At 43.8% G+C, this 21,191-nt stretch overlaps 1 protein-coding gene across 8 annotated transcripts in view; it reads right to left on the bottom strand.

The window, feature by feature from the left end:
* IQCK (IQ motif containing K) overlaps positions 1-21,191 on the bottom strand; it is a 140,197-nt gene that overhangs the window by 67,173 nt on the left and 51,833 nt on the right. For 7 of the 8 annotated variants that reach the window (NR_130967.3, NR_130968.3, NM_001394805.1 and 4 more), the window contains one exon: positions 2,373-2,457. The exons of the other annotated variant lie outside the window; for it this stretch is intronic. Coding sequence is in view for 5 of the 7 variants with exons in the window: in NM_001394805.1 (NP_001381734.1) it covers positions 2,373-2,457 (85 nt within the window). In the remaining 2 variants the exon portion in view is untranslated. The remainder of the gene's footprint in view (positions 1-2,372; positions 2,458-21,191) is intronic. 8 annotated transcript variants of the gene reach the window in all.

The following is a 21,191-nucleotide window of genomic DNA, read 5'->3' as shown; positions in this document are numbered from 1 at the left end:
GGGATTACAGGCATATGCCACCATGCCCAGCTAGTTTTTGTATTTTTAGTAGAGATAGGGTTTTACCATGCTGGCCAGGCTGGTTTCAAACTCCTGACCTCAAGAGATCTGCCTGCCTTGGCCTCCCAAAGTGCTGGGATTACAGGTGTGAGCCACCACTCACAGTCTGCTCTTAACATTTCATAAAAATAGAAAAGTAAAATTGCTGATTCTAGTGTAACAAGTATAAGTCTCACAAATCAAAGATGGAATTCAAGTAGTATCTGAACGCCAGGAATATTTTGCTTTGGTTAGACATCCCTGGATGTAAGCTAACCTTCTGGTGTTCAATGAAGAAAAAAGACCACATTTATAAAATATGTATGAAATACTGAAAACCTACATTATAAAAAACTATGTCTAAATCACGGGGAATAATAGGGGTTTCTGTAACAGGGTGGTTTTTTTGTTGTTGTTGTTGTTTGTTTGTTTGTTTGTTTTAACTCTTTGGGCACAGACTTCTCCTTTAATGTGCAAATATGTTACTTAACTTTCACACTTCCCTTTAGCCCATGGTTTCTGGAATGTACCATGTACAAAAGGAATGGAATAACTGGACAATACTGACTCATACAGTAAGCTCTTGTGTTCAGGGACAGTTCCACTAATGGGCATGTAGCAAATATTTGTTATTAATTGTAGCTTGTTAGGATTAATCCAACTTCTTAACTGATAGCTTTTTGCTGGTGTGTTTTTCAGAGTCTCTTTTTCCTACATCAGCTGTGTATAGAGTATGAAGAGCTTTGGCCTCTATGGAAATCCACTGGGACCTTTCCCTCTGGCAGTGTTTGCCACTGCTGATGTTAAATGTAAGCTCATTCCATGATATCTGATGCTCAGATTCAGGGAAAGTCATCTTGCTACCTAGAATGGGAGCTTCATGGAAGCTTGTTAACATTGATACACTAATTGCCAAATAATTGGAGAGGTTGTATACTTTTTGGAATGAGATACACATGCTACTCTCATATGTATTTGGTGAGAACTTCTTCCACAAGACAATATTATCAGGAGTTTTTTTTTTTTTGAGACAGGGTCTTGCTTTGTCACCCAGTTGTCACCCACGTTGGAGTACAGTGGCACAATCATATCTCACTGCAGCCTTGACCTCTTTGGCTCAAGTGATCCTCCTGCTTCAGCCTCCCAATTAGCTGGGACTACAGATGCCCACCACTGCACCTGGCCCATTTTTGTATTTTTTTGTAGAGACAGGGTCTCACTATGTTGCCCAGGCTGGTCTCTAACTCCTGCCTCAAGAGATCCTCCTACCTTGTCCCTCCAAAGTGCTGGGATTACAGGCATGAGTCATCTTGCACAGCCAGGATCAGGAGCTTTAAAAAAAGCTTATCTTTTCATCTAGAAATTCCACTTCTAGGATTCTCCTATACAAATGAGCAGACGAATGCGCAAAAATGACTGCACAAAGGTGTCTACTGCAGCATTTATTACAACAATAAAAAATACTGTAAATAACCTCAAAGTCTCAAATAGAAAAATGGTTAAAAAAGACAAGTTATAAAGGCAGAGGCTATTTTCTATGTTAAGTATTTATACGTCACTATGTGAATTCAGATTTTTAAAGTTTGTAGTTTTATACCAAAATGTTAACAATAATTATCTTTTGGTGACGGAGTTATCAGTGACTCAAAAATTTTTATTTATTTTATTCGACTTACGTGAATTTTCCAGTTTTTTTTTCTAAAATGACAATGTAGTTTTTTCTTTGTATATATCAATACAGGCCAGTCAACCCAACTTTAAAAGGTTAAGACAGTACTTTTAATAACTACAAAATAAGTTTTGGTAAAAAGTCTTTGTGTTTTTTTTTTTTTTTTTTTTTTTTTGGAGACAGGGTATCTCTCTGTCTCCCAGGCTGGAGTGCAGTGGCACAATCCCCACTTACTGCAACCTCTGCGTCCTGGGCTCAAGCCATCCTCCCACCTCCGCCTCCCAACAGCAGCTAGACTACAGATGTGCGCCACATGGGCTAAGTTTTGTATTTTTTTTTCTTTTTCTTTTTTCTTTTTTTTTTTTGGCAGATACGAGGTTTCGTCATGTTGCCCAGGCTGGTCTTGAACTCCTGGGCTCAAGTGATCCTCCCACCTTGGCCCCTGCAAAGTTCTGGGATTACAGCCATGAGCTACTATGCCCAGCCAGTTTCAGTAAAAATTCTAAATCACTTTTTAAGACCCATTTTACAGAGAATCGTATTTCTGAGGTCTGGATGTTAGCTATAATATCCTGTTCCTAACTCATCTAAGGTTTACCCTGGACCCTCCACCTCACAAAAGTTCCCCATTAAATCAAATACCACAGTCGCATATGATTCTTACCACACAGGCTCTCCAGAAGGATTGAATGTAGAGGGCTGCTTCCTCTTCTGTCAGCAGGAGCGAGAGTGGGATTGGCGGCCGTGGGCTGAAAAGCAATAAAATGGTTATATGCCCATGAGAATCCAGTCCTTCAGCCTTGGCATTGCCTTTGACAACATAATGACCTCTCTGATTAAGTGCTTCATCCATCCCCTTTCTTAGCAGGCAACAGTGTCATTTTAGATAGAAAAGTGTATGCTTGAGTTAGCATTTATTATTTTAAACTCTGGGAAGGATTTTTTTAAAAAAAACAGCATAATCTTAAATCATTGTTAGCCTATTCTTCTTTTGAAGGACTCAGGCTGCTATTCTTGCATTTTAGTCCTGAAGGTGCAACATACATATTACTGACATGAGACTATTTGGATACAATGCAAGAGACAGAGGAGCAGCCGCCTTTATGTACTGCAGTATGACTGAGACATAATAAAGAGCTCTTTCTCCAACTTTCCATTGAAATTAAGGACTGCAGTTCCTCTCTTTCCTGAAAGGAATACTGGAATTTATCTCTGATTAGTATGCATTCCAGGTTAATGTGGTTTAAATTCAAGCACATTTTTAAGTTCTGCTGTTGTTACAGAAACATCAAGGGTTTGGTGTAGGTCTTGCTGCTCACCACACAGAATGCCAATTACTGAACTGATGAGTATTACCAGGGAAGAAGGCTCTAATCTTAATCGAGTGCTGCAGCCAGGAGGAGATGGGATCAGTCTCAAATCCACCTCCCAGACAGACAAAAACTAGGGGTTTATACAGCAGGGAAGAAATGTGACAATGTGTAAGAAAACAAGAACTAGGGAGGAGCAAGGAAGCAATCATGATGAATGAGGGCTCTGGCATCTCATTGTCTAGATGTGGTGATCTGATGAGTTTCAGTTCTTTGATCCTTTTTTTTTCTAAGAGGCCTGGGGGTCCTTCCCTGAGGAAGGAACTCAGATAAATTAAGTTTTAAGCTTTAAGACCAGAAAAGTCAATTTCTATGTTTATCTGAAAACAACAACAACAACAAAAACTATGGGACGATTGGGTTGGTTTCACTGCTTCTTCTTCTTTTTTTTTTTTTTAAAGATGAATCTGCTGTGGATTATTGTTTCTGCTTAGAAAAAAATACTTAAACAGTAATTCTTAATAAGAAATAAAATATCTCAAGTGCTGGATCAGTTGATAGTGTCTGCTCTTGTGGGATTTTTCATATCATGGGATTTTTTTAAAAATCAAAGATACCACATTAAAAAATCAAGACTAAAAGTTTAACAGAGGCACTAACCGATGACAAGGTCTTACAAATCTGTCTTAATTCAGGTTCTTTATGTTTCCCCCAAAGTAAAGCATAGCTACGTCTGAAAAGCAAAGGCCAAGACTGTTCAGATATAAAAGAAAGAAACCCTCAAAGGACGTGGATCACATGGAGGCTGCTCCCAGTATAGCATCCCCAGAAATGACTTTGCAAGTAAGGGACTCCCAAGTGCCCTGGCCTCAAAACTCTCCCAAATAACAGCTAGAGCTTACAGTAACTCACGGCACAGACAGGTTGACTAACCTGCCCAAGGTCACACAGCTTGTAGGTGCCTAGTGAGGATCTGGGCCCAGATCCATACAATCCCAAAGCCCAAGCATCCCTTATCATGGAGTGCTGACACACCAAGCCTCAACTGGGCAAACATGCAGATGCCCGGCCTGCCACAGACTGCAAAGCTAACTGGCAACAGTGCATGATTCTCCAGGATACAAGGGTTTCATTTCCTTCCAAAAACTCTGACTTAAAAAAAGAAAAAGAAAAGCTTGATATAGTCTATTTGTTTAAATGAATGAATGCTCTTTTGAATTCTTCCAGAACCAAAGAAATCAAAGCCACAAAGAACACAGAAGTTATCAGCAGTTGAGTGCAGTGCTTTTGCCAGGCTCTGATTTTCTGGCTGGACAGGTCCTTTCTAAGAGACCAAGTAAAGGGGATTCTTCCATTTCTTCCTTTTTCTTTCCTTTCTTCCCTTCCCTTCCCCTCCCCTCCCCTTTTCTTTCTTTCTTTCCTTCCTTCCTTCCCTCCATCCCCCCTCCCTCCCTCCCTCCCTTCTCTCTCTCTCTCTCTCTTTCTTTCTTTTCTAGGTGATTCTTCCATTTCTTCCTTTTTTTCCCCTTTCTTTCCGTTCTTTCCCTTCTTCCTCTCTTTCTCTCTTTCTTTCTTCCTTTCAATGAAGTTTCACTCTGTCCCCCAGGCTAGAGTACAGTGGCATAATCTCGGCTCACTGCAACCTCTGCCTCCCAGGTTCAAGCGATCCTCCTGTCTCAGCCTCCTGAGTAGTGGGACTACAGGAGCACGCCACAATGCCTGGCCAATTTTTGTATTTTTTGGTAGAGATGGGGTTTCACTGTGTTGGCCAGGTTGGTCTCAAACTCCTGACCTCTGGTGATCCACCCACCTCTGCCTCCCAAAGTGCTGGGATTACAGGCATGAGCCACCGTGCACAGCCTCTTTTACATTTTTTAAGTAAATTTTCTTAAAACTGTAGAGACAGGGTCTCGCTATGTGGTCTCCAACTCTTGGCCTCAAGCAATCCTCCCACCTCGGCCTCCCAAAGCACTGGAATTACAGGCATGAGCCACCCGCCCCGCCCGGGCTCCCTGTTTTCCACATTAAATGTCTCTCCTCATCCACTGTCCTGATTCTCTATATCTCAGTTGTGTGACACCAACAAATCACATCCCTGAAGTAATTTCCCTTCACTAGTTAAAATTCAACAGCTTCTAGAGAGACCTTGGTGTTTTTAAGGAGACCTTGGTGTGTTGGCAGTGAATTCATGGGAATGATGCTCTAATGCATTCTCACTGGCTGATATTTACTGAGAACTTTCTGGATCCCCTCCCAGCAGCCTTGCTCCTCATGCTCCGGCCCTGCGGGTGTCACTGGTAGAGGGTCGTGACTGCAAGTTGTCCAGGTTCTTGGCGTTTTGAACAAAGAATTGTACAAAACGCCCAGCAAAGCAAAGAAAGAATGAAGCAACAAAAGAACAAAAGCAGGGATTTATTGAAAACGAAAGGACAAAAGTACACTCTGCAGTGTGGGAGCGGACCCAAGCAGCGGCTCAAGAGCCAGGATACAGAATCTTCTTGGGTCCAAATACCCCCTAGAAGTTTCCCTTTGGCCACTTCATGCTCACCTCATGTAAATGAAGTAAGTGGTAGCCAGCAATCAGTCTGATTGGTTGTAGAAAGCAGCCAACCAGAGGCTGAAGTGAAGTTATAAAGTTATGCAAACAAAGACTTCTATGCAAACAAAGACTCGGCCCGCAATCAGTCTGATTGGTTGTGGACAGCCAATTTCCCATCAGCTGTGCAGGAAATTTTGGGATTTGAAAAGGGAGTAGCCTCTGGTCCTTTTGTTACTTAGGCGTGGAAAGTTAGGGTTTTCTTTTCAATTTAGTTCTAGGATGTCAGTGTGAGACAGCCTTTGGTTCCCTGCCTCCAGACCCTATTCTCCTGCCTCACTGGCACTTGGCAGCTCCTCAAATGTGTCTGCTTCTCCCACCTCAGGGCCTTTGCTAAGGTGCTTTCCTCTGCCTCCAGTATACCCCTAGCCAGGGGCACCCTGTACAGAGGTCCTGGTTGTTCTCTGCTCAAGGGCACCCAGCAGATCGGCCAAAGGGTGCTAAAACCCAGCACATGCTCTGCTCCTGGGTGTGTGACCACATCTGCCCTAAGGTGAGGATACCTTTTTCTAATTTGCTCAAATGCACCTTGGGGCTGGTGCAAGGCCTGACACCTCTTTTTCCTGGTTTGTCTTATTACTGCTTCTGATCTCCATTCAAATGTTATTGAGGCGGGGCGCCGTGGCTCATGGGCCTGTAATCCCAGCACTTTGGAAGGCCGGGGCGGGTGGATCACCTGAGGTCAGGGGTTCGAGACCAGCCTGGCCAACATGGTGAAACCCCATCTCTACTAAAAGTACAAAATTTAGCCAGCCGTGGTGGTGTGTGCCTGTAATCCCAGCTACTTGGGAGGGTGAGGCAGGACAATTGTTTGAACCTGTGAGGCAGAGGTTGCAGTGAGCCAAGATCGTGCCACTGCACTCCAGCCTGGGCAACAGAGCAAGACTCCATCTCAAAAAGAAAAAAATGTAATTGAAAAATGTCCTTTGATTACATCAGGGCCCCAGGAAGCTTCTGTGTAATTTTCCTTCCTGGTCCTTGGCCCAGTTTGGAGATAGAAGCCCTTGTAATTATCTAATTAATGCTCAAATCTTGTACTGGTCTGAAAGCTCCACAAGAGTAGACACTGGTCCTGTGTTTGCTCCTCTTGGTATCTCCAGCACTTAGGACAATGTCTGGCACATAGTAGGCACACTCAACAAATACTTGTGGAGTGAGTAGTTGCCTCTCTGCCCAGCTGTGTGTTAAGCATTTTCTACACGTGATTTTGTTAAATCCACACAACATGAAGAATGAGTTGTTACCCTTTCTTGAGAGTTGAAACAACTGAGGCATAGAGGGGTAAAGGGACTCTGTGTTCAAGGTCATTGAGCATTTCCAGCTGAGAATGCAAACTGCCCAGGAAACAGTGGCCCAGAGAGAAGATGGGGCCAGCTCACAAGGTCAGTAGCATCGAAGTCAGGGTCTAGCAGCTGCTGAGTGTTAAGGAGAAGAAAACACAATCATTTGCTTCGAAGAAAAAAAAAATGGGGGCAGGGAGGGTGCAGAATCATAGAAAACGCCCTCTTTGTTGAACTTTACAGTAATAACTTGGCAGATACTCATTTATCTGAACCTCCGCAGGGAATCCTATGTCAGGAAGGCTAAACAGAGTAGAGTTTGTCACTTGTGTTGGAGGGGAGATTTGATAGCGCCTTTCTGTTCAGCGGCAATTTTCCTGCTTTAAGTATGTTTTTCACAACCGATGTCATGAAATCCTCAAAGTAACAGTATTCCTGTTTCGGAACAGCAGCAGGAAAACAGAACTGCAAATCTCAGAACACAACGGGTGAGCCCAAACAGAGGGCTTTCACCAGTAATGAAACCCTGAACCGCTATGCATCACAACGACATCTCCAAAAAGCAAAATGAGATTTCTAATAGGCCTTTAAGCAGTAATAAGAGGCCACCTTTAGTGACATCCCTGCTTTCATAGCTAGATAATGGGGCGCTGTCTAGTTCCCAAACCAAGAATAAGTATGAGAAAGCCATGGTAAATCAGGCCAAATGAAAAGGACTTACTCTTCGAAGAGTAGTCCTGGGAATTATCAATCATTTCAGCAGGCCAGCTTGAAGGCAGAGAAGCCACGCCAGGCCCTTTTCCCTCTCTTGGAATCAGTGCAACTGGCTTAAGGTCAAATAAAAATAAAGAGGCGACTGCTCATCACCAGGGAACTAGGGAGGGGAGAGATGAACACGTCAATCACAGAAGGAGACAGCTGAGGCCTTAAAGTGCTTAAATCAGACATCCCCAAAGCAGACGTTTTTGCATGTTCAGACGGGCACGATAGCACTGCTGGGTATGTTTCCAAGGAGAATTGTTATACTAGTAATACTCATTTGTCATGTCCTCCTCCTTTTTTTCTCAAATGTGAATACATTTGAACCCTAAGAATCAATGCTGGCCAGGCGCGGTGGCTCCCGCCTGTAATCCCAGCACTTTGGTAGGCCGAGGTGGGTGGATCACCTGAGGTCAGGAGTTCGAGACCAGCCTGGCCAATATGGTGAAACTTCATCTCTACTAAAAACACAAAAATTAGCTGGGCGTAGTGGCGGACACCTGTAACCCCAGCTACTCAGGAGGCTGAGGCAGGAGAATCGCTTGAACCCAGGAGGCAGAGGTTGCAGTGAGCCAAGATCGCACCACTGTACTCCAGCCTGCACAACACAACAAGACTCCGTCTCACACACACACACACACACAAAAAAAGAAGAAGAATCAACGCTATAATTCTGAGAAGGAACAAAAATTTATTTTTCTGATTGTGTTGTGTATATATAAATGTATGTGCACATGTGTGCGCATACACATGCTTCTTTTCTCTTTTTTAGATGCAAAGTGAAAGATTTGCAGGACGTGAAGATACAGCATGCTAACAAAATACATAATAAGAAAATCTGAGACGTTAGTCTTGATCAATTTCTTCATCCAGTTCAAAGACAATTAGAGAGGTGTCATCAAAAAACACATTTAATCAGAATAAAGAAGGGAAGAAAGCTTGCTTGAGATTGAAAATGAAATTTTGGAATCAAAATTCTATCCACTTTTCTTTCTCTCTTTCTCTTTTCTTTTTTTGACAGGGTCTTGCTCTGTCACCCAGGCTGCAGTGTAGTGGCATGATCATAGCTCACTGCAGCCTCAAATTCCTGGGCTCAAGCCATCCTCCCACCTCAGCCTCCTAAACAGCAGAGATTACAGGTACACACCACCATTCCCAGCTAATTTTTTTTTTTTTGGTATTTTTGTAGAGACAGGGTCTCACTATGTTGCCCAGGTTGTGCCCAGGCTCTTCACTTTTCTTTTCTTTTTCTTTTTGAGATGGAGTCTCACTCTGTTGCCCAGGCTGGAGTGCAATGGTGCGATCTCGGCTCACTGCAACCTCCGCCTCCCAGGTTCAAGCAATTCTCCTGCCTCAGCCTCCTGAGTAGCTGGGATTACAGGCGCCTGCCACCATGCCCGGCCTTCCACTTTTCATTAACTAAGAGATTAAGTTGTTTTCTTGGAACATGAAAGCACAACCCGGATGTAAAGCCATTTACAAAGACGGCACATGCTGTAAATCAATCCTCATGAAGTTTTGCAATACACCAGTATTTGTAACGGCCACTTGTCACAGTCAGCAAAAGAGACTTTACCCAGCCCTCGCCTTCCATCCTAACCGGGTTCCCAAATGCTCTATACTGAGGCATCACATTCTTTTTTGTTGTTGTTTTAGGCGGAGTCTCACTCTGTCACCCAGGCTGGAGTGCAGTGGCACGATCTCGGCTCACTGCATCCTCTGCCTCCCGGGTTCAAGTAATTCTCCTTCCTCAGCCTCCCGAGTAGCTGGGATTACAGGCGCCTGCCACCACACCCAGCTAATTTTTGTATTTTTAGTAGAGATGGGGTTTCACCATGTTGGCCAGGCTGGTCTCAAACTCCTGACCTCAAGTGATCCACCTGCCTCAGCCTCCCAAGGTGCTGGGATTACAGGCGTGAGCCACCACGCCCTGCCGAGGCATCACATTATTGGCTTACAAACTTAAAATATTTCTAAAAAGTACAACAGAGGTTATCTGGAATGGTACTCCCAGACATATGGTGACTAGCCGTTAGGATGGAATCTCATAGGATTCTTTCAATTCCAGCCTTCTGTGAACATACGAACAGCTCCAAAACCTGCAGAGCTTTACTCTCTGTAGCCTAAAGCATATTTAGAAATCATGGTTACCAGGATATGATGTTGCTTTGGCCCCTTCACTAATCTCTACCCTGGGAGATCAACAAGCGGTTATTACTCCAGCATCAGGCTGAATCATTCTCCTAGTTACACACAGAGCTGAGTCCCATTTAACCAACTCCATCACTGAAGCTGCATACGTGTCCAGATAGCAGAACTCGCCAAGCAGCGAAGTGCAAGACCACATGCTCCCATGTGGGTTTCAGATATAACCATTTTTTAAAAAAACAAGGCTGTGATACTTGATATTTCTTGATAAAATATTCCCAGATTGTGGTATTATTTAACGTCTTTGTAACTGATTACACATTTTCTCTAGTGTGACTAAAGGAAAAATTTAAGGAGACCCACCTACTCCCCAGTCTCCCTCTCCTGGATTTAAAGGGTGGGCCCAGGCAAGGGGGATGTTCAGAAGAGCAGACCACCTACCTCCCCACCCTTTTCAAACCTCTCACAGGGGATCTTCATTTTTTTGTGTCACGGATCCCTTTCTACTTTGGCGGTTTGGATTCCTTCTCACAATAATGTTTTTAACAACATGAAAGTAAATACATAGGATTACAGCAAACCAATTATATTGAAATAAAAGTATCAAAATATTAAAACAAGAGCTGCTGATATAGTAATATATGCGCTTCTAAATTATGCAGTAAATAACAAGAGCTAATAGCAGGCCAATTAACTACTGTAATTTGAAAGGTGTGACAAGTGTAAATGGTATTTCTCGATCTCTGCAACAACTGTAATGTGACAGGAGAATATCTGTGATTGCTGTCAGGGACAAACTCACAGATACTATGGAAACTACTGAGGTTTGTTGTCCACATTCATACTTAAAGGAGACGCTGGATTTAAGTGAGAGATTAGTGAAAATAAAGAGGGAATTTCCTTCCCTTTCCAAGTTCCGGGACCCCTGAATCGTAGACAGTTAGTTGTGGCTGGAGCTGGGGAAAGATGGGTTTTATATCCAGCTGGAGACTGAAGACTAAGGATTTAAAAATAAACAGGATGGGCCAGGTGCAGTGGCTCATGCCTGTAATCCCAGCACTTAGAGAGGCCAAGGAGGGAGGATGGCTTGAGGTCAGAAGTTCAAGACCAGCCAGGGCAACACTGTCTCTATAAAAAACATAATAAATTTTTGGCTGGGCACAGTGGCTCATGCTTGTAATCCCAGCACTTTGGGAGGCGGAGGCCGGCAGATCACTTGAGGTCAGGAGTGCAAGACCAGCCTGGCCAACATAGTGAAACCCCATCTCTACTAAAAATACAAAAATTAGCCAGGCAAGGTGGCACATGCCTACAGTCCCAGCTACTTGGGACGCTGAGGCAGGAGAATCACTTGAACTTAGGAGGCGGAAGTTGCTGTGAGCTGAGAGCGCACCACTGCACTCCAGCTGGATGACAGAGCGAGACTCCATCTCAAATAAATAAATAAATAAATAAATAAATAAATAAATAAATAAGGCTGGGCACGGTGGCTCACGCCTGTAAGGTCCCAGCACTTTGGGAGGCCGAGACGGGTGGATCACGAGGTCAGGATATCGAGACCATCCTGGCTAACATGGTGAAACCCCGTCTCTACTAAAAATACAAAAAATTAGCCAGGCGTGGTGGCAGGTGCCTGTAGTCCCAGCTACTCGGGAGGCTGAGGCAGGAGAATGGCGTGAACCCAGGAGGCGGAACTTGCAGTGAGCCGAGATCGCACCACTGCACTCCAGCCTGGGCGACAGAGCGAGACTCCATCTCAAAAAAAATAAATAAATAAATAAAATAAATAAATAAGTAAAAATTAAAAAAATACTTGTGATTTAAAAAAATAACGAGGATAAATCCTAATGGTGAAATGAGATGATCTAAAAAGAGAGAGTGACCAGAAAGTTATGGAATTGGGCCAAAAAGTATTAAAGAGCTGCTATCCAGATGGCAGATGGAGTCAATGTAATATAGTGTGGTGGTTAGTGGGAAAAAAGAAAAAACTTTTCATATTTTTATTCCCAATAATTTGTGATTTTTCAGTGTACTCATTAAATTTTCAAAAGAGAACTGTTATTTCCCCTACTCTGTTTCAGTAAAGGGATCCCATTCAGCCAGTTGCTCAGGCCTGAAATCTCTGTTGCATTCTTGACTCCTCTCTCTCCCACAACATCCAATCCATCAGCAAGTCTTCTTGGTTCCAACCTCAAAACATGTCCCAAATCCAATTTATTTTACTTCCTCCTCTCCATGAGGGCATCATCTCTTCACTGTAGTCACCTCCCTGTATGCACTATTAGGTTGATTTCAGTGAATACCCCATCCAGCTGCCGGACTGATCTTTTTAACAGATACACTGAAGGCTGGGTGTGGTGGCTCACGTCTGTAATCCCAGCACTTTGGGAGGCTGAAGTGGGAGGACTGCTTGAGGGCAGGAGTTCGAGGCTGCAGTGAGCTATGATCGCACCACTGCACTCCAGCCTGGGCAACAGAGTGAGACTCTGACTCAAAATAAAAATTGTGTGTGTTGTTTTAAGCACCAACTTTGTGGTAATTTCTCGCAGTAGCCCTAGGAAACTCATATACTAATTCCCATCTTATGATCCTTAACTTAATCACATATGCAAAGTCCCTTCTGCCATATAAGGGAACATATATATTTACAAGGTCTGGGAATTGGATGTGGACATCTTGAGGGCACTAAAAGGAAAAACCTTTGTTTCTCTACTCGCAAGACTTCTGACACCAAATGTGTGGGTTTTTCACACCAAGCAGTTCTCCAGCTCTCTGCAGATACCAACTGGGCATCCTACAATTTATTTTTTATTTTGTTTTTATTTTTATTTTTTTTTGAGATAGGGTCTCACTCTGTTACTCAGGCAGGAGTGCAGTGGTATGTTAATGGCTCGCTGCAGCCTCCATCTCCCAGGTCCAAGTGATACTCTCCCCTCGGCCTCTGGAGTAGCTGGGACTACAAGTGTCTGCCATCACACCCAGCTAATTTAAAAATGTTTTGTAGAGATAGGGGTCTCACTATGTTGCCCAAGCTGGTTGCAAACTCCTAACCCTAAGCAATCCTCCCGCCTCGGCCTCCCAAAGTGCTGGGATTACAGGCACTACAATTTAATTTAACTCTGACACTAACTGCCCACAGTTAGTGCAGACCCCACAGAAGGCCCACAGGGAGCCCACAGGATAAGGGCTTAGTCCCACAAGAATGCTCTCCACTACAGATGCCAGTCACAAGGAATGGGTCTCCAGGTTACTCACACTTCTGTCTGACTTGGCTACAAATTGGGGGCTCCCACAACCCCCTCCTCAAGTTCGATAATTTTCTACAACAGCTCATAGAACTCAGGGAAAACGCTTTACTAAATGGTGGAACTAAGATTGGAGCCCAGATGTGCCTGCCATACTGCTTCGCACAGGCTCTCTGAACTGGTTCTCTTTTTTTTTGAGACAGAGTCCTGCACTGTCACCCGGGCTGGAGTGCAATGGCGCGATCTCAGCTCACTGCAACCTCTGCCTCCCGGGTTGAAGCAATTCTCTCACCTCAGCCTCCGGAGTAACTGGAACTACAGGTGTGCACCACCACGCCCAGCTAATTTTTGCATTTTTTTAGTAGAGATGGGGTTTCACCACGTTGGCCAGACTGCTCTCGAACTCCTGACCTCAAGTCATCTGCCAGTCTTGGCTTCCCAAAGTGCTGGGATTACAGGCGTGAGCCACCGTGCCCGGCCCTGAACTGGTTCTTAAACAGCCATGGAGAAACAGCAGGAAGAAAGAACGGAAGCAGTACTGAGTGCGCCTGAGAAAGGGCCACCCACATGTCAAACCTCCAGCAAAAGAGAGGCACTAGAGAACTTATACATCTCAGCACGTCCCAAATTCAGGAAACAGCTTTCCTTCCTCCCTCTATTTGAAGATGAATGTGAATATAAAAAGCAAAGACGATTTACTATCCTCTTGGGACTCTCTGGCCTCCGAAATTACTGACACAGAAGAAATCTACTCTTCTATAAGACAAAATAAATTAAAAGGATTTTTTTTTCTATCAAGAGGGCATGACAACAAATTTTCTGCTGTGCCACCATTTAATTATAATCTTTAGTACGAAATGCAGTTTTTTGTGCCACTCTGAAGGTAGGAGCATTTTCAGTTCCACTATCAGCCTCAGCACAAATAGATCATCAAGCGACTGGAGCTTGTCCTCAAACGACACAGTGACACTTTTGTTTTCACCTCTGTTTTTGGTCACAAGATACCTTTCATCAACATGAACATATCATAGGTTCCCCCAGCCCCCCACCTTTTTTTTTGTTTCAAGGATAAAACTTAGCTGAAAAGACATTTCACCCAAAGCAACCTTTTCTTTTCAAAAACACAATCTTTGTTTCATTGAAGGTCTCAGTTTTAATGATGTCTTTCATGAGCCTTCCCTTCTGGGACATGAGACCAGAAAGGCAGTGGTGCACTTTTGCTCTTCGTGCTCATTTAGTTATTTATTTTTGCAAATGAATCTGACCAATTCTCAGGGCCATTCTTTTTGGCCAAAATAGAAATTTAAACTTTTTCTCTTCTTAATGTGCTAGAAAATAATTTCATTGCCTCTGATTGGCTGGTTGAGTCACGACTATATACTACAAAAGAGGATGGTGCTGGATTAATAAACAGGACTAAGGCCGACGGGAGATATGACATCATCTACCCCTGTTAAAAGGTAAGAACAAAAACACCCTCATCACACTTCAATTAGAGTACGTGGCAGATCGTTTTTTGTTTGTCTGTTTGTTTGTTTTTGAGACGGAGGCTCGCTCTATCACCCAGGCTGGAGTGCAGTGGCACCATCTCGGCTCACTGCAACCTCTGCTTCTCGGGTTCCGGCAATTCTGCTGCCTCAGCCTCCCAAGTAGCTGGCGTATTACAGGCGTGCACCACAAAGCCTGGGTAATTTTTTTGTATTTTTAGTAGAGACGGAGTTTCACCATGTTGGCCAGGATGGTCTCAAAGTCTTGATCTCAGGTGATCTGCCCATCTTGGTCTCCCAAAGTGCTGGGATTCTAGGCGTGGCCACCGTGCCCAGGACATGGCATCTTTCAAGCTGTCTCACACAGCCAGGTTTCTCCCAGTCTCAGTACTGATCACTTTAAGGACCAGGTGACAGAAGGGGAAGTAGAGCAGAATAATTAGCCACACTCTTAACAGTGCATAGACTCTGCAGCCAGGTTGCTTATGTTCAAATCCTGCCTCTGCTATGCACTGGCTTGAGATCCTGGGCAAAGACTTAATTTCTCTCTGCCTCAGTTCTTTCTTAGAAATATGCCTGTGGGCCAGGTGCAGTGGCTCATGCCTGTAATCCCAGCACTTTGGGAGGCCGAGGCAGGTGGATCACCTGAGGTCAGGAGTTCATGACCAGTCTCGCTAACATAGTGAAACCCCATCTCTAATAAAAATACAAAAATTAGTCAGGCATGGTGTTGGGTGCCTATAGCCCAGCTACTTGGGAGGCTGAGACAGGAGAATGGCTTGAAATGGGGAGGCAGAGATTGCAGTGAGCCTAGATCGTGCCACTGCACTCTAGCCTGGATGACAGAGATAGACTCCTTCTCAAAAAAAAAAAAAAAAAAAAAAAAAAAAAAAAAGCCTGTGCCCAGAACAGAACAGCTAGTGTTCACCAATATCCACGTGTTCCTTTACGTATCCCTGCCTCCCCCGCAACTGGCTTGAAGCCATGCTCTGTAAAGAGAGGTGAGAAAGTTAAGAACCTTCTAGACTGAGAAGGTTAAGAGCTGAGGGACCTCCTACATTCTTTTCTTCCTTTGCATCAGTGACCTCAGAGGTAAGAGGGCTGTCCAACCTACAACAGTCTTTTTGTGAGCAAGAAGTAAGCTGTTGTTGGGTTAAGCCACTGGTATTTTGGTATTGTTTATAACTGCAACCTAGCCTAGCCTAGCCTAATACAACGGGGATACTATGATTTTCTACTTTGTAGGGTTGCGATGTAAGTTAAATTAGGTAATATTTATAAAGTGCCCAGAATAATACCCAAGTAAACACTATGTAAATGTTTGGTAGGTAGGTAGTTAAATATATAAATACGAAGACAGACAGACAGAAGGAAGTAGTTGCCTTATGAGCTGCTTATGTTATGAGGGGTACCCAAAATTGAAAACAACTGAGGAAAGAGCTGAGTCATGTGTCCTATTTTATGCGTTACCTCTAGAGTAAAGTGGCAAGAATTGCTTGCATTTTAAAAAGTCTTCTTTTTTTTTTTTTTTTTTTGATACAGAGTCTCACCCTGTCGCCCAGGCTGCAGTACAGTGGCGCAATCTCGGCTCACTGCAATCTCCACCTCCCGGGTTCAAGTGATTCTCCTCCCTCAGCCTCCTGAGTAGCTGGGATTACAGGCACACACCACCACGCCTGGCTAATGTTTTGTATCTTTAGTAGAGATGGGATTTCACCATGTTGGCCAGGGTGGTCTCGAACTCCTGACCTCATGCTCCACCTGCCTTGGCCTCCCAAAGTGCTGGGATTACAGGCAAGGCCTAAGACACCACGCCCGGCCTTAAAAATTCTTATCCCTTTCCCTTTCTTCCCTTCTCTGTCTTTCTCTCTTCTTCTCAAAAGCATATCATTGAATTAGCATAAATTAAGTACACATATACTTCAATCCAACTATACACAGTATGTCTGTCCATGAAAACGGGAAACATGTTTGTCGTTTCTACATGTCATGTTTCCACGGCACATAGTAGGTGTTTCATAAATGGTAGCCAGGCCACTTATGAATATACCTGCCCCATAATTTTAAAGCATATTTAAGCATTCAATAATTATTAGCTGGCTGGGCGCAGTGGCTCACGCCTGTAATCCCAGCACTTTGGAAGGCCAAGGAGGGCGGATTACTTGAGCTCAGGAGTTCCAGACAGTCTGGGCAATGTGGTGAAATCTACAAAAAATTAGCCAGGCATGGTGGTACACACCTGTAATCCCAGCTACTTGCCCATGAGGCAGAGGTTGCAGTGAGCCAAGATCGCATCGCTGCACTCCAGCCCGAGCAACAGAGTAAGACCCTGTCTCAAAAAAAAAAAAAAAAAAAAAAAAAAAGTATTAGCTAAATAAATAATTCCCTTTAGCTGGAACATACCTGCTTGGTATATGTACCAATAATGAAATATAATAATAGTTGGCACTAGGATTCCTCTTACGGGGGGAACTTTGTTCAGTTGAAAGGCCATTTTTCAGATGGAAAAACTGAGGCTTGGAAGGATTAAGTCATCTTTGCCCAAAGTCACACAGCTGGAAGTGGTGGAGCTGGGTTTAGAACGCAGAGGTGTGATTCTAGTGCTTCCAAGCTCCTAACCACCACACTACACTGTCACTTCTTTGACTTCTAGAACATTCCTACACTTCCTTTGGCAACTTTGGGATTTGACTCACTGTCATCTTCTTCAGCTGTCTCCTCCCAGTGTTCTCAGCTACTTCATTATCTATGCTGATGACCCCCGCAATACCATGACTTTGGGTCCACATGTTTCTAGTGACCCCTACCATCCCTCTGGGTCAGTCACCCAACAGAAAGGTCACATCTTAGAATGGTTCATCACTGAAGACTGTCACATATCAAGTTCCTGAACTCCTGATGTAATCATAAACTTTTCTCTCCTTCCATCTTTCCCACCTACTACTTACTTCTAATTATGTTGGTTTTTTTGCTTTTACATGAGACCATGGTTTGGGAAGGCTATTGGTGTCCACCTGAAACAGGGAATCAACAAACCGTAGCTCATGGGCCAAATCTGGCCCACCACCTGTTTTTGTGAATAAAGTGTTATTGGAACACAGCCACACCCATTCATTCATATATGGTACATCTATGGCTGCTTTCATGACACAGCTGGGGAGTTGAGTAGCTGAGAGACTGTCTGTGGCTTGCAAAGCCTAAAAGACTTAACTATCCTCTATAGAAAAGTTTGCTGACCCTTGACATAGAAAGCCATGTCCTTGTTCCCCAGGAACTCTGAGATTATTGGAGACTTGTTCTTTAGAACAAACCCAAGGCTTTGATCATGTTAATCCTCCTTCTCATTGTTTCTGGGGAAACTGGGTTTGGGTTTGGTGGGAGGGTTGGCGTTATCTGAGACTAACATAAGAGAATTGGTTGGGAAGTTGTGCACATTCAGAGCTGGGTCTCTGGAGGGGTGACCAAGACCTTCTCAGCACCACAATACTTGTCAGTTGGGCTGCACCTGCCATCTCCCCTTTCCCCAGGGCCATTTTCCCTCAATGCCATTTGAGTTTCTCAGCATGCTCATAGGAAAACTCAGTCCTCCATTGTCTGTCACTCCAGCCACCTCCAGTAGGGAATGGCCCCCAGCCCTCCTGGTTCACTGCTCTCCAGTAGATACCACCTCGCCCAGGGCACATCTCCTACACTATCAAGTGCTCATAAGGAGCTTTGAACAATCTCATTTTAATGTTTTTTTAATTATTATTATTTTTTGAGACAGGATCTCACTCTGTCACCCAGGCTGGATTGCAGCGGCACAACCACAGCTCACTGCAGCCTAAACCTCTGGGGCTCAAGTGATACTGCCGCCTCAGCCTCCTGAGTAGCTGGGACCACAGGTGAGCACCACCATGATCAGCTGATTTTTGATTTTTTATAGAGATGGGGTCTCACTATGTTTCCCAGACTGGTCCAAACTCCTGGGCTCAAGTAATCCTTCTGCCTCAGCCTCCCAAAGTGCTGGCAGGCATGAGCCACTGCATCTAGCCCTAATCTCATTTAAAAAAATTTTTGTTATGGAAATTTTAAAAGCTATACAAAAGTAGACAGAAAAAATTAAAAGGAATCCATGTGTCCATCAACCAGCTTCAATTATACTGTTCTCCATGTCAGTGAATGGAAGCTTCCCTCCCTCCCTCACCCCTGTCCATAGAATATGTAATTTCATATATAAATATTTTGGCATGTTTCTCTGAAAAGTAATAACTTTTTAATCATGACTATGAAATTAGTATTCTCATCATCATATCTTAAATAATAATTTTTTAATTTCATCAGCTATTAAGTGTTCAAATTTTCAGTTGTCTCCAATTTTTTATACCGTTTTTTTGAATTGGGATCCAATTAAGATCCACACATTGGAATCTTTAAAAACAAACTGTCTTGATTCTAAGATGGACCCCACTACCCTCATCTTAGTGTTTCTGAGTTTGGTATATTTCTTACTTTCAATGTGAACACCTAATGTAGGATTTCTTTCTCTTCCCGAAAATTGGTTGCTAAAGCGTTAACATAATTCAGAAAATATGGTAATTTATGATTTAAAAATGTAAGACATTCTTTAAAAAGGAAACAATGCTTTCACTTGTACCTACGATCCCCTGGGCCCAGTCTAGACCTTTTACTAGAGTAGCTTTGCCAGTCTTCAACCCTGATTTTACCAACCATCTGTTCTCCACCCCCTTTCCAGAGCTGTGGAGGGTTGCTGGAGACAATCACATAAGCAGGCTGTTTATATGCACCACAAATTCAGGCCATCAGCTGGGCCATCCCTATTTATCCCTCGTTGATTCCCTGTCGGTTTCACCACAGCAGCTGTTGCAACCCCCTCCCCTCCTCCATAAACCTCTGCCTCCCTCTCAGCAGATGCCTTCACACCTACATGAATGTGAACGTGAGTGACAGCACCCACCATGAACTTTCTCAGTGCTTCTCCCTCCACCTCAATTTTTCTCTCACTCTTAGCTCTGGTCTCAGAGGAATACTTACACATTTTTTTATATCTATATACATATGGAGATACATAGAAAAGCATCTGAAAAGTTCACCAAAATGTCAACAATGGTTATATCTGGGAGGCCAGCTCTTCGGTGATCTGTGCATTTTTCTTTTGATTTTTCTGTTTTGTTTGAATTTTTTCACTCAGCATGTATCATTTTTATTATACAAAACCTGGAATACTATTTTAAAATGTAAGCAATCTTCAGCAAAATGTAGGTGATCTCTAAGAGAAAGGGACTTTAAATTTCTCCACATTCTCCATTACACTTCGTGGTAGGCAGAATTTGGGTCCTAAAGATGTCTGCATCAAAATTCCCAGAAACTGGTCGGGCATGGTGGCTTAAAACTGTAATCCCAGCACTTTGGGAGGCCAAGGCAGGCAGATTGCTTGAGCTCAGGAGTTTGAGACCCACCTGGGCAACATGCCAAAACACTGTTTCTACCAAAAATACAAAAATTAGCTGGCCGTGATGGCATGCACCTGTAGCCTCAGCTACTCAGGAGGCCGAGGTGGGAGGATGGCTTGAGTCCAGGAAGTCAAGGCTGCAGTGAGCTGTGATTGTGCCACTGCAGTTCAGCCTGGGCAACAGAGGGAGACCCTGTCACCCTCTCATCCCTCCCAAAAAATTCCCAGAACCTGTGAATATTTACCTGACAATGGCAAAAGAAACTTTGCAGATGCGATTAAGTCAAGGATTTTGCAATGGGAAGGTTATCCTGAATTATCTAGGTGAGCTAATGTAATCACAGGAGTCCTTAAAAGTGGAAGATGGAGGCAAAAGAGAGTCAGAGAGGCCAGGAGAGATGGCTCACGCCTGTAATCCCAACACTTTAGGAGGCTGAGGCAGGTGGATCACTTGAGGCCAGGAGTTTGAGTCCAGCCTGGCCAACATGATGAGACCCTGTCTCTACTAAAAATACAAAAATTAGTCGGGCATGGTGGCGCATGCCTGTAATCCCAGCTACTTGGGAGGGTTAGGCAGAAGAATCACTTGAACCCGGGAGGCAGAGGTTGCAGTGAGCCGAGATTTCACAACTGCACTCCACCCTGGGTGACAGAGTTAGACCCTGTCACCCCCCCGCCCCCCAAAAGAGAAACAGTCAGAGAGATATGACTAAGAAAGAGGGTCAGAGAGATGCAACATTGTTGGCTTTGAAGAGGAATGCAGGGGCCACTAGCCAAGGAATGCAGGCAGTTTCTCAAAGCTTGAAAAGGCAGGGAAACATTTTCCCCTAGAAACTCCAGAAAAGAATTAGGCTCTGCCAATGCCTTGATTTCACCCCAGTGAAATCCAAGTCAATCTCTGGACCTCCTGAACAGTATAGTAATAAATTTGTGTTGTTTTAAACCTACCAGTTCTGGGGTGCTTTGTAACAGCAGCAATAGAAAATAAACACACCCCTATTTCTCCTTGTCAGTCATTTAAAATCAACATAGACGCTAAGTTGAAACAAGTCATTGTTACACTTACACATGACTTAGAGTAAGTGCCATTCATTGAACTGGAATCAACTCTGGGCTACCCCTCGGTTCAGCCCTTGTCCATCTTGACTTAATCCATACATTCAATGTGGGGCTCTTGATTCCCAAACCGTTTCTCTTCATATCCTA

The sequence above is a fragment of the Homo sapiens genome, chromosome 16 (assembly GCF_000001405.40).
Source record: "Homo sapiens chromosome 16, GRCh38.p14 Primary Assembly".
NCBI lineage: Eukaryota > Metazoa > Chordata > Mammalia > Primates > Hominidae > Homo > Homo sapiens.
Note: the sequence above shows the minus strand (reverse complement) of the source record. Positions and strands in the feature narration are given on the sequence as shown.